Raw genomic sequence first — 13,000 nt, 5'->3', positions numbered from 1 at the left:
GTTCTGCTTTTATCCTCCCTGTCCCTCCGCAGGAGTCTTCCCAAAGTGCTCCGTACCCCTCAACAGCAAAATGGCCTCAGGTTGTCTGGGCCAAGGGGATGCAATTGTCTCTTCTCTGCACCCCCGTCCAGGGCACCCGGCTTCTGCCCGTGGGTTCTGCCTGGTCCCTATGCCACCCACATCTGGGGCTGGGCTTCTTCCCCGCCACGGTGGGGGTACGTACTCACCTGCATTTTCTCCAGCATCTCAAAGAACTCCGACGACTGAAAGACAAAAGCAGGGGGACAGAAAGACAGGGATCAGCCGGGAGGTCCACAGCAAAAGCCTCTTCCTCACCAACTATCAGGAAGCTGAGCCTGGGGCTTCCCCAGGGACAAAATTCATTTGGATCAACAGAGAAGATAATTTGATTTTGCCTTTGCAGGGCTAGAGGGCCAAACACCCCATACAACAGGAGAGAGGCTAAGGCACACCTGGGCTGGCAAATGAATGGTGCTGGGGGAGCAGACACTCAGCCTCTGTCAAGGAAAGGGGCCTGCCGGCCCCTGGGAAGAGCCAAATTCTGCAAACGCCTATCGTCCTCGGCATTCAGCCTCCGGCAGGAGCCATATTTAGGATGTTTTCAACCCAACAGTGGGGCCAAGGTGTCCAACACAAGCGGCGTTCCACACCCTGATACAGAAAACCAACCGGTGAAAGCAGGGTCGCTGTGGCCACAGCAGCCAGGGAAGGAGGGGGAGGGCCCGCTATGCCACCTCTGCCTCTGCCTGCCCGGTCCCCTGCCCACAAGGCACCACTCTGGCACCCTAAAGCTGGTGAAGCAAAGCCTGAACACCATTGAACCGAGGCCTCCAGGGGCCTAGAGGGATTTTTTTTTTCTTTTTTTTTTTTTTTGAGACAGAGTCTCGCTCTGTCACCCAGGCTGGAGTGCAGTGGCGCAATCTCGGCTCACTGCAACCTCCGCCTCCCGGGTTCACGCCATTCTCCTGCCTCAGCCTCCCGAGTAGCTGGAACTACAGGCGCCCGCCATCGTGCCCGGCTAATTTTTTGTATTTTTAGTAGAGACGGGGTTTCACTATGTTGGCCAGGATGGTCTCGAACTCCTGACCTTGTGATCCTCCCGCCTTGGCCTCCCAAAGTGCTGGGATTACAGGCGTGAGCTACCACGCCCAGCCTAGATGGGTTATTTTTAAAATCCCAATTGCACTTGTCCAAACCTTTGACCTACTTTGGTGCCACCCTTGTGTATCCAGGAAAAACAAAAAGGAGAAAAGGGAAGCGGAATGGAAGCGTGAGGGGCTGGCAACTCTACCCCAACAAAACACACAGAGGCCACCCCACTTCCTATCCCCTGAAAACAGCTACTCCTCCTCAGACTAATGTCACTGCCCACATCTGGGCACCGCGAAGCCGGGAGGTCATGAGTGCCCAGAACAGACAGTCCCCAGTGAAGACGAGAGAAAAGAAAGCAGGGATGAGGAACAGTGTCCTCGGTTCTTCTTCAGGCAGAGGTGGGGCCTCCAAGCACTCTTCCTACCTCTGCAGGCACCCATGGGCCAGAACTGCCTGGAGCTCCCACTGCTCCCAGAATTCCCAGACCCGCCCTGGGAAGGAGCCTGGTGAAGTCCCTGGAGAGACCCAGCCCTGCTGTTGACTCCAGACAACCTCTGTCAGGCCAAAGCCAGCGTGTCAGAGGCAAAAAGCTCCGACCTACCAGCAGTTCAGGATCTGGCATCTAGAAACCCCACGTGTGAATGTACAGGGGTGGGCTTAGGGCACCCGCGCCCAACTCCCTTGACCAGAAGTGAGCCGCCAAACATCCAGATGCCAAACCTCCTCTTCCAACTTGCTCAGGTGCACATGCACCACCCACGCGGGGCATTCTTACCATCTCCAGGCTTAGGAGACCAGGATTAGCAGACGTAAAGAGCTTATACCAATCAATACGGATAGAAAGATGAACAGGAGGAGGATAATGCAACAGAAGCAATCAACATGTTAAATACACGGACCTCTGACACGCGATTCCACGTCTAACAATCCATCCTCTAACACACTTGCAATGTGCACAAAGACAGACAGGCTCAAATGTTCACTGCAGCATCGTTTCTAACAGTAAAAAAATAAAAACAACTTAAAAGTCTGCAGAAAATTGGTTAAAAGAAGCTACACTCACAGAATAAAATACAAGTACTATAAACTATAGGTCAATAAATTAGATAACTTCGATAAAATGAACAAATTCCCTGAAAAACATAACCTATCACAACTGACTCAGTAAGAAATAGAAAATCTAAAGACATATAACAAATAAAAAGATCAAATTAATGATCAAAAAAACGACGCACGAAGGAAAGCCCAGACCCAGGTGGCTTCATTTGTAAATTCTACCAAACGTTTAAAGAAAAGTTAATACGAATTCCTCATACTTACTCTCAAGAAAGTCAAAAGAAAGCCCGCAGAATGCTAGGAAATATTTGCAAATTGTATATCTGATAAAGGACGTGTCTCTACAAAAACAAACTCTTACAACTCAGTCAGAAAAAGACAGCTCAATTTAAAAACGGGCAAAGGATCTAAATACACATATACCCAAAGAAGACATACAAAGGAACAATAAGTACATGAAAAGACACTCAAGCCATTAGTCATCAGGAAATGCAAATCAAAACCACAATGAGACACCACTCATACCACTAACATAGCCACGATCAAAACACAGACTATCACAGGCGTGAGCAAGGCTGTGGAGAAATCAGATCCCTCATCTATTGCTGGTAGGAATGTCAAACAGTACAGCCATTGTGGAAAATCATTTGGCAATTCCCGGAAATGTTCAACACGGAATTATGACCACACAACTCAGCAATTCGACCCCCAGGAATATACACAAAAGAATTGAAAGCAGGTACTCAAGCAAATACTTGTACACAAACATTCACTACTGCAGTATTCACTCTTGCCAAACGGTGGGTACAACCCAAATGTCCATCAACTGACGAATAAACAAAATGTGCTGTATCCATACGATGGAATAATATTCAGCCAATAAAAATAACATATACTGATACCTGCCACAACACTGCTGACCCTTGAGTGCATTACACCAAATGAAAAAAGGTAGAGATAGGGCCGGGTACGGTGGCTCACACCTGTAATCCCAGCACTCTGAGAGGCTGAGGCAGGCGGATCACGAGGTCAGGAGTTCAAGACCAGCCTAGCCAACATGGTGAAACCCCGTCTCTACTAAAAATACAAAAATTAGCTGGGCTTGGCGGCGGGTACCTGTAATCTGAGCTACTTGGGAGGCTGAGGCAGGAGAATCGCTTGAACCTGGGAGGCAGAGGTTGCAGTGAGCAGAGATCGCACCATTGCACTCCAGCCTGGGCAACAGAGCAAGACTGCCTCTCAGTAAATAAGTAAAATAAATAAATAAATAAATAAATAAATAAGTACTGATATGTGAACCAAATGGATGACAAATTCCCTCACTACAGGAGGAGGTATAGAAAAGCAGTTAAGAACCTGCCTCTGTACCCGCATGACCCAGCAGTGCCACTCCTAGACACCTACACAAGAGAATGGAAAATACACGTCCACACAAAAACTCTTACATAAGGCCAGGCGTGGTGGCTCAAGCCTGTAATCCCAGCACTTTGGGAGGCCGAGGCGGGCGGATCACGAGGTCAGGAGATCGAGACCATCCTGGCTAACACGGTGAAACCCCGTCTCTACTAAAAATACAAAAAATTAGCTGGGCATGGTGGCGGGCGCCTGTAATCCCAGCTACTCAGGAGGCTGAGGCAGGAGAATGGCGTGAACCCGGGAGGCGGAGCCTGCAGTGAGCCAAGATCGCGCTACTGCACTCCAGCCTGGATGACAAAGTGAGACTCCATCTCAAAAAAAATTTAAAAAAGACAAAAGTCAGAGATAAAGGACCATAATTCCATTTTAATCAAATGTCCAGAGTATGCAACCTCATAGAGACAGAAAGAAGATGAGCGCTTGCTTAAGCTGAGGGGGATGGGGGATTGGAAGGTGATAGCTAAAAGGTACGGATTTCGTTTCAAAGCAATAAAAAGGTTCTAAAACTGATTATGATGGTGGTTACACAGCTCCGTGAATACCACCAAAAACCACTGAATTGTACACTTTATTTTATTTTTTATTTTTTGAAATGGAGTTTCGCTCTTTTCACCCAGGCTGGAGTGCAATGGCGCGATGTCAGCTCACTGCAACTTCCACCTCCTGGGTTCAAGCGATTCTCCTGCCTCAGCCTCCGGAGTAGCTGGGATTACAGGCATGCGCCCCCATGCCCAGCTAATTTTTGTATTTTTGGTAGAGACAGGGTTTCACCATGTTGGCCAGGCTGGTCTTGAACTCCTGACCTCAGGTGATCTGCCCACCTTGGCCTCCCGAAGTGCTGGGATGACAAGCGTGAGCCATCGTACCCGGCCAAATTGTACACTTTAAATGGGTGACTTTATGATACGTAAATTATATCTCAATAAAGCTGTTCAAAAAAACTATACAATCATTCAAAAAGACAGCAACAGATTCATGTTGCTTACATATGACACTCTCCAAGATATATTAAGTTGAGGGGTGGAGGAAATCAGAGACAATACATTGAATATAATCTCAATTTTATAAAAACAGCCAGACACGGTGGTTCACACCTGTAATCCTAGCTACACAGGAGGCTGAGGCAAGGAGGGTTGCTAGAGCCCAGGAGTTCAAGGCTGCAGTGAGCTATGATCATGACACTGTACCCTACCCTGGGTGACACAGTGAGGCTCCATCTCTTAAAAAAAAAAAGATACTGTATATAATGTATGCATATAAATTCATAGAAAATGATCTGGAAGACCATACCTCAAACTATCCAAAAGCCATTATATCAATAAATGAGGGGTCTGGTGCAGTGGTGGCTCACACCTGTAATCCCAGCACTTTAGGAGGCTGAGGCGGGCAGACCACATGAGCCCAGGAGTTCGAGACCAGCCTGGCCAACATAGTGAAACCCTGTCTCTACTAAAAATAACAAAAATTAGCTGGGTGTGGTGGCGCACACCTGTAATCCCAGCTACTCGGAAGGCTGAGGCATGAGAATCACTTGAACCCAAGAGGTGGAGGCTGCAGTGAGCTGAGATCCCACCACTGCACTCCAGCCTGAGCGACAAAGTGAGACTGTCTCAAAAGAAAAAAAAAACAGAAAAATGTGCAAAGGACATGAACAAATGATTAAAGGACACACATAAAATAACCAATGAACACATGGAAACAAACCCAACCTCTCTAGTTATGAAAGAAATTAAGATCACAGTAAGATAACATCTTTCACTATCAGATCAACCAGTGTTGGCAAGGATATGTGGCAGGAACATATAGCTGGCAGGAATGAGAAACAGTACAGCCACTGTGTCCAGTCTGCAGGCCCCGGGCTGCAGGAACTCTGCTGAGTGCACACCTGATACAGCTTTCCGAAAGGCACCATGTATCCAAACCGTTTAAAATATCCACGTCCTTTGGTCCAGGAAACCCACTCTAAGGAATTTACCCTAGAACAATATCCGGGCCATGCCACAAGAACACATGTACAAGGATGTTTGTCCCAGCACTGTTTAAGGGCCAAAAAGTCTAAGCAATGGGGGAAGTACCCAACCGTGAAAGGAAAAGTAAATAAGGCACAGGGGTACACTCATACAATAAACGACAAGAGGAGGTCTGTGCTCATGATGCTACTGCAAAGATTCACAGTGCATTGCTAAGTGAGAAAAATAGAGTTTTGAACAAGATGATCCCATTGTTTCCATGAAACATAAAGAATGTGTTTGTATAGAGAGACACAGGACTGCATCTGAGGGCATGCATCACCCCCACGGAGAAAAATATCCCAAAGGATACACAACAAAATGAGGCTGAAGGTACAGATGATTTTTCCCTTTGTGCTTTTCAGTATTTATTTTATTTTATTTTATTTTTTCTGAGACACAGTCTCACTCTATCGCCCAGGCTGGAGTGCAGTGGCGCAATCTTGGCTCACTGCAACCTCCGCCTCCTGGGTTCAAGCGATTCTCCTGCCTCAGCCTCCCAAGTACCTGGGACTACAGGCGCCCACCACCAAACCCAGTTAATCTTTGTATTTTTAGTAGAGACAGGGTTTTACCATGTTGGCCAGGCTGGTCTTGAACTCCTGACCTCAAATGATCCGCCTGCCTCGGCCTCCCCAAGTGCTGGGATTACAGGCGTGAGCCACTGCGCCCAGCCTAGGTTTCACGTCTTTTTATTTTCGTTTGTTTTTGAGACAGGGTCTCATTCTGTCACCCAGGCTGAAGTGCAGTGGCATGATCACAGCTCACTGCAGTCTCGATCTCCTGGCCTCAAGCGATCCTCCCACCCCAGCCTCCCAAGTAGCAGGGACTACAAGCACTGCCACCACACCCAGCCAATTTTTGTATTTTTAGTAGAAACAGGGTTTCATCATGTTGCCCAGGCTGGTTTTGAACTCCTGAGCTCAAGCGATCCTCCCGCCTCAGCCTCCCAAAGTGCTGGGATTACAGGTGTGAGCCACCGCACACAACAAGTTCGACCTCTTGAAGAGAGAAGCATCAAAGAATTCATGGACACATCTTAAAACCAAAATGTCAACGAAGGCTTTTTGCAAGACACAAGATCCCAGACAGACCTTAAAGGATCAAGAGAAATCACTGGATAGAGAGGGGTGAGGAGACTGTGGCACTCGGGCAGCAGGAACTGAATGGGCAAAGACAGAAAAGAGAAGCAGCTCGGCACACAGTCAGTGAAGCGTTAGTGGATCAGCCCGGCTGGCTGGAGGCCTCTGGGTCAGACATCCTGAAGATCAGATGGGAGAGCAAAGCTGGGGCCTGGGCCTGAGAGATGCTGAACCCCAGAACTCAGGCTTCGGCTGCAAGGTCATGCAGAGTGATTTAGGTTTAGGTGCAGCAGAAACACACAGGAGGCAGCAGAGCCCGGTGGTCGAAGCCCAGGTCTGGGGAGTGGGCAACCTGCTACTGCCCAGCTGTGTTGCATGAGGCATGTTAACCTCTCTTCATTCCTCTTTTAAGTTCCTCACCTGAAAATTGAAGCAGGCCGGGCGCGGTGGCTCACGCCTATAATCCCAGCACTTAGGGAGGCTGAGGTGGGTGGATCACTTGAGGTCAGGAGTTCAAGACCAGCCTGGCCAACATGATGAAACCCCATCTCTACTAAAAATACAAAAATTAGCTGGGCATGGTGGCGGGCACCTGTAATCCCAGCTATTTGGGAGGCTGAGGCAGGAGAATTGCTTGAGCCTTGGAGGCAGAGGTTGCAGTGAGCTGAGATCACACCATTGCCCTTCAGCCTGGGTGACAGAGCAAGACTCTGTCTCAAAAAAAAAAAAAAAAAAAAAAATTGAAGCAAATAGTTCCTGACTTCAGCGCTCTTAGGCAGATGAGGTGAGAACAGGCGTAAGAAGTGCCCAGCCAGGGTCTGGTCTGCAGTGAATGCCCAGTAAATAGCAGCTCCTAGAAGGAGCTATGGGAAAGCTCCCTCTGGAAGCATGCTTTGTCCTGTTGGAGGTGGGCTAGCAGCTTCAAGATACTTTTTCTCGATTTCATTGGTCTTCCCAGAGACAGTGTCTTTAGAAGACTGTTAGAAATGAGTCTGGCTGGGCGCATTGGCTCACACCTGTAATCCCAACATTTTGGGAGGCCGAGGTGGGCAGATCACCTAAGGCCAGGAGTTTGAGACCAGCCTGGCCAACATGGTGAAACTGTCTCTATTAAAAATACAAAACTTAGCCAGGCATGGTGGCACAGGCCTGTGATCTCAGCTACTTGGGAGGCTGAGGCAGGAGAATCACTTGAACCTGGGAGGTGGAGGTTGCAGTGAGGCAAGATTGTGCCACTGCACTCCAGCCTGGGCAACAGAGCAAGACTCCATCTCAAAAAAAAAAGAAGAAGAAGAAGAAGAAGAAAAGAAATGGGTCTGAATGAAGATGCCCCATGGCCTGGGGCTGGCACAGTTGGTGAGAAGGGCTATGATTCAGCCTCAGCCATGAGCAACGTGCTGGGTGGATGATCCCTGCATGGACAGTGCCCAGCAGCAGAAATCAGCCAGTGGCAGCATGGCCTTGGCTGGGCCGGCCCCACTTCTCAGCGACTTGCTGCACTTTCCAATGGGACAGTTGGCAGGGAGTGAGTCTCCTTTTCCACCCAGAAGCAGCGTGACTCAGGCCAGCCGGGAACAGCAGCTCAGCCTTTCGGACACACCCTCATCCACACACCCTGAGATGGCTGCATACAGCCAAGGGCACATAGCAGGCACTCAGTTAACGCTCAGGGCACACAGAAGGCACTCAGTTAATGCTCAGGGCACACAGCAGGCACTGAGTTAATGCTCAGGGCATACAGCAGGCACTGAGTTAATGCTCAGGGCACACAGCAGGCACTCAGTTAATGCTCAGGGCATACAGCAGGCACTCAGTTAATGCTCAGGGCATACAGCAGGCACTCAGTTAATGCTCAGGGCACACAACAGGCACTCAGTTAATGCTCAGGGCATAGAGCAGGCACTCGGTTAATGCTCAGGGCACACAGCAGGTGCTCAGTTAATGCTCACTGACTCACTGGCATTGCCCCAGAGACTAACGTCCTGCCCGGGACAGCCTCCGGAAGGGGTCTCCATCCACCAGGAAGCCAGCCGCTGGATTTTCACAGAGGCATGTAATTGGGTCTCCTCATCAATAGCAGCGTCCATGCAGCTGTCTAATGTATTAGCAGCAGCAGCTCTTGCCACCCAAATCAGAGGGGCGGCCAGCATTTCCCCGTGGACTCTGCGTTCACAGCCAGTCAATAGATAACCACGCAGAGCCAGCACTCAGCTGAGGAACTCCGTCTGGGCCCCAAGTTCCACCCCTGTCCCCACCACCTCCCGATACAGAAACAGCCTGGTCTTCCTTCAGAAAGGCAGAGAAGTCTTTGGGGAGGAGGATGCTGGAGGAGGTCCCAGGTAGCAGGGGCAGACGTGAACAAGAACCACAAGGAGTAATTTAGGCTTGGGAAATCTTGAGGGATCTTTCCCAATGCCCCTACTTGCCGGTTCGGGTGCCAGCCCACTGCCCAGGCGGCAAAGCAGAAGAAGCGACGGGAAAAGATGGCACTCGTGTGAGTCCAGGACCCCCTCTCTCCATCTCACCACCCTGTGCCCTCCCTGCCTCCCCCTGGTCCACAGCAGCTCTACACACAGGCACAGCTTCTCCTGCAGACAGGCAGCCACCTGTTCCTTCCCTCTTGTTGCACCCGAGTCCAGGACCCCTTCTCTCCATCTCATCACCACCCTGTGCCCTCCCTGCCTCCCCCTGGTCCACAGCAGCTCTACACATGGACACGGCTTCTCCTGCAGACAGGCAGCCACCTCTTCCTTCCCTCTTGTTGCACCCGAGTCCAGGACCCCTTCTCTCCATCTCATCACCACCCTGTGCCCTCCCTGCCTCCCCCTGGTCCACAGCAGCTCTACACACAGGCACAGCTTCTCCTGCAGACAGGCATCCACCTGTTCCTTCCCTCTTGCCGCACCCCAGCTCATGAGACCCTCGCCCCTGCAACACTCTTGCCTCTCTCCTCTCTGACCCTCGCTGGAGAAGTGACTCTCACTGGCCCCACCTGCAGCATGCTGGGTCCTTGCTGAGCTACCTGCCCTGGCCCTGGGCTCCTCTCCTCTGCTTCTGGAGGTGGGGGTGTGTTTATGTGTCAGCAGCCTCGCTAAAATCCCTGCTCCTGGGAGGCACCACACACTCATGTTCACAGAACCACGCTGTCTGAGTGCTTGCGCCTTTGCATGGGGCTGAAAACATGACCGCTAACTCACAGAGCTGTGGCAGGACCACACGGGCCAGCGTGTACAGAGCCTGGCACACAGGTCGCTCAATGAGTCCTTGCAATCGCCTCGTTATTCCCGCCCACCCCAATCCAGGACACACGGAGGGGACAAGGCTACATCAACAGCAAACTAAAAACATTACCAGAAGACAAGGATGGAGGAGCAGGTGTTTTGCACCTACGTGGGTCCCAGGAAAATCGGGGGGAGATGCGGGCCAGAAAGTGCTGGGGGGAGAAGCAAACAGGTCAGAGTGAGTTTCTCATCCGGATGAAGAGGGAAGACATGACCAAGGAAAAGGATTTCTGGAGAGTTCTCTAAACCCGTTTCTGGAAAGCTGGGGAAACAGGGCACGCCCTGGGAGCGGGATGGGATGTGTCCCATGTCGTCTGACCACCGAGCACGCCACACTGCCCGACTCCGCTACCGGTCCAGAAGTCCCCATCCACAGGGCAAGCAGGATGAGAACCAGCCGGCCACCAGGCTGGCTGCAGAACAGAAGGTCCTCGAGGGCAGAGCTCTTCGTTTGCTGTGATCCTTGCCATATCCCTGTGCTATTAATAGAACTGCCTAGCACACAGTAGATGCTCAATAAACATTTGCCAGATGAATGACTAAATATTCTGCTAAGCAAGATGCAACGAAGCAAGCGGTGAGGGCTGAGTCTTGGCCTGGGAGTGGCCAGGGCGGGCTTGTTGGGATGGCTAGAGTCAGGGCTGGACGGGCCAGTGTTACTGCTATTAACAGCTGTCTGTGCTCTGACCACAGACTGCACCCCTCACCCTGGATGGCCAACCCTATGCCCAGTGGGTGCTCCCAATAATGAACCGTCCTCCAGAATCAGGTCCTGTTCCAACCAAGTCTCCCCCCACCACCCCCGCCAAGCCACCTGCTTGCTCCTCTTTCCCTTCTCTGGTCTCCTTTTTCCACCAACTCCTGATGCTCACGGCTCCTTTGCTGCTGGAGCGTTTCAGAGGTGCCATTTCACTATGTCACTGGGGCCAGGAGCCTGCAATGGCTCTCTGTTAAGTGTGGCAGTGCTAATGCCACAGAACCACCTGGGGGCTAGTTAAAACACAGTTTCCGGCCGGGCACGGTGGCTCACGCCTGTAATCCCAACACTTTGGGAGGCCAAGGCGGGCGGATCACCTGGGGTCAGGCGTTCAAGACCAGCCTGACCAACATGGAGAAACCCTGTTTCTACTAAAAATACAAAAATGAACCAGGTGTGGTGGCGGGCGCCTATAATCCCAGCTACTTGGGAGGCTGAGGCAGGAGATTCACTTGAACCCGGGGGGTGGAGGTTGCAGTGAGCCGAGATCACGCCACTGCACGCCAGCCTGGGCGAAGGAGCAAAACTCTGTCTCAAAAATAAAAAAAGTTTCCTAGGCCCCACCCCTAGAGCTTCTGATTCTTGGCCAGAGAATGTGCGTTTCTAAGAAGTTCCCAAGTGAGAACCACTGACCTATGGGGTTCATCATGTTGAATGCTGCTGCTGTGTGGGAGGGACCATCTCTCAGCAGAGATACCAGAGCAGAGATGTGGCAAGGTGGGGAAGGGTGGGAAGATGGTTGGGTTTTTATAGGACATCTTAAATTAGGCAGACTCATATTTAAATTCTAAGACAGGACTAGAAGATGCCAATGACTTCAGGCACGAGGCAAGCAACCTAAACGAGTGATGGGAGAAGTAAAGAGATGGAATCCGTAGTAATTAAAAACCTCCCAACAAAGAACAGTCCAGGGCCAGATGGCTTCATAGTGAAGCCGACCAAACACTTACAGAAGAATTCACACCAGTCCTTCTCACACTCTTCCAAAAATAGAAGAGGAGGAAACACTTCCTAACTCATCCTATGAGGCCAGCGTTATCAAAGTGACACAAAGGAACCACAGAAAACTACAGGCCAGTATCTTTATGGATAGAGTCAGACATCCTCAACGAAGTACCAATAAACCAAATCCAACAGCGTACTGTTATATTCCATGACCAAGTGGAATTTATCCTAGGAATGCAAACTCAGTTCAACACAAGAAAATCAATGTAATAGGCCGGGCACGGTGGCTCACACCTGTAATCCCAGCACTTTGGGAGGCTGAGGCAGGAGGATCACCTGAGGTCAGGAGTTCAAGACCAGCCTGGCCGACATGGTGAAAGCCCGTCTCTACTAAAATATACACAAATTACCCAGGCGTGGTGGCACGTGCCTATAATCCCAGCTACTCGGGAGGGTGAGGCATGAGAATCGCTTGCACCCAGGGGAAAGAGGTTGCAGTGAGCCCAGATTGTGCCACTGTACTCCAGCCTGGGCGAAAGAGCAAAACTCGTCTCAAAAAAAATAATAATAAAATAAAGAAAAAAAAAGAAAATCAATGTATCACATTAACAGGATGAAGAAGAAAAAATACATGATTATCTCAATTGATACAGAAAGAGCACGACAAAAGCTAATATCCTTTCATGATATAAACTCTCAGAAAACTAAGAATAAAAGGGAACTTCCTTGACATAAAAGGCATTAAAAAAAAAAAGACATAGCTAACATCATACTCAGTGATGAAAAACTAAAAGCTTTCCCCTTAAGATGAAGTAGCAACAAAACAAGGAAACTCACTTTCACCACTACCATTGGGTGTACTAAAAGTTCTAGCCAGAACAAAGAAATAAAAGGTATCTACCACGGAAAGGAAACAGTAAAACTATCTCTATTGTCAGATGAGACGTTCCAACACAAAAAAACCTCACAGATTTCACACATGCACAAAATCTACTAGAGCTGATAAAGGAAGTCTGCAAAATTGCAGAGTACAAAAATCAGTTGTGTTTCTATACACCAGCAATGAACAATCGGAGAGACACAATCAGAAAAGACAAACAATAAAAATAATAAAAATAATAAATTAAAATAAACAATCAATAAACAATCAGAAAATTAAGAAAACAATTCCATTTTAAAATAGCATTAGGCTGGGCACGGTGGCTCACGCCTATAATCCCAGCATTTTGGGAGGCCGAGGCGGGTGGATCACGAAGTCAGGAGATCGAGGCCATCCTGGCTAACACAGTGAAACCTCGTCTCTACTAAAAATACAAAAAAAATCAGCCGGGCGTGGTGGCG

General features: G+C 49.6%; 1 protein-coding gene across 14 annotated transcripts in view, besides 5 other annotated features; it reads right to left on the bottom strand.

The window, feature by feature from the left end:
• RAP1GAP2 (RAP1 GTPase activating protein 2) overlaps positions 1–13,000 on the bottom strand; it is a 282,097-nt gene that overhangs the window by 79,720 nt on the left and 189,377 nt on the right. For all 14 annotated transcript variants that reach the window (XM_047435668.1, NM_001411048.1, NM_001438816.1 and 11 more), the window contains one exon: positions 228–263. In XM_047435668.1, the coding sequence (XP_047291624.1) occupies positions 228–263 (36 nt within the window). The remainder of the gene's footprint in view (positions 1–227; positions 264–13,000) is intronic.
• Positions 298–927: an enhancer, noted in NCBI's record as "H3K27ac-H3K4me1 hESC enhancer chr17:2860389-2861018 (GRCh37/hg19 assembly coordinates)". NCBI's record gives its function as "activates a minimal SCP1, AML or CMV promoter by ChIP-STARR-seq in primed H9 embryonic stem cells {active_cell/tissue: H9 hESC(primed)}" and the evidence as "EXISTENCE:reporter gene assay evidence [ECO:0000049][PMID:30033119]".
• Positions 928–1,556: an enhancer, noted in NCBI's record as "H3K27ac-H3K4me1 hESC enhancer chr17:2859760-2860388 (GRCh37/hg19 assembly coordinates)". NCBI's record gives its function as "activates a minimal SCP1, AML or CMV promoter by ChIP-STARR-seq in primed H9 embryonic stem cells {active_cell/tissue: H9 hESC(primed)}" and the evidence as "EXISTENCE:reporter gene assay evidence [ECO:0000049][PMID:30033119]".
• Positions 9,398–9,918: an enhancer, noted in NCBI's record as "H3K4me1 hESC enhancer chr17:2851398-2851918 (GRCh37/hg19 assembly coordinates)". NCBI's record gives its function as "activates a minimal SCP1, AML or CMV promoter by ChIP-STARR-seq in primed H9 embryonic stem cells {active_cell/tissue: H9 hESC(primed)}" and the evidence as "EXISTENCE:reporter gene assay evidence [ECO:0000049][PMID:30033119]".
• Positions 9,919–10,439: an enhancer, noted in NCBI's record as "H3K4me1 hESC enhancer chr17:2850877-2851397 (GRCh37/hg19 assembly coordinates)". NCBI's record gives its function as "activates a minimal SCP1, AML or CMV promoter by ChIP-STARR-seq in primed H9 embryonic stem cells {active_cell/tissue: H9 hESC(primed)}" and the evidence as "EXISTENCE:reporter gene assay evidence [ECO:0000049][PMID:30033119]".
• Positions 10,440–10,960: an enhancer, noted in NCBI's record as "H3K4me1 hESC enhancer chr17:2850356-2850876 (GRCh37/hg19 assembly coordinates)". NCBI's record gives its function as "activates a minimal SCP1, AML or CMV promoter by ChIP-STARR-seq in primed H9 embryonic stem cells {active_cell/tissue: H9 hESC(primed)}" and the evidence as "EXISTENCE:reporter gene assay evidence [ECO:0000049][PMID:30033119]".

This window comes from Homo sapiens, chromosome 17 (assembly GCF_000001405.40).
Source record: "Homo sapiens chromosome 17, GRCh38.p14 Primary Assembly".
NCBI classification, from domain to species: Eukaryota; Metazoa; Chordata; class Mammalia; order Primates; family Hominidae; genus Homo; species Homo sapiens.
This window is presented reverse-complemented; position numbering and strand designations above follow the sequence as displayed.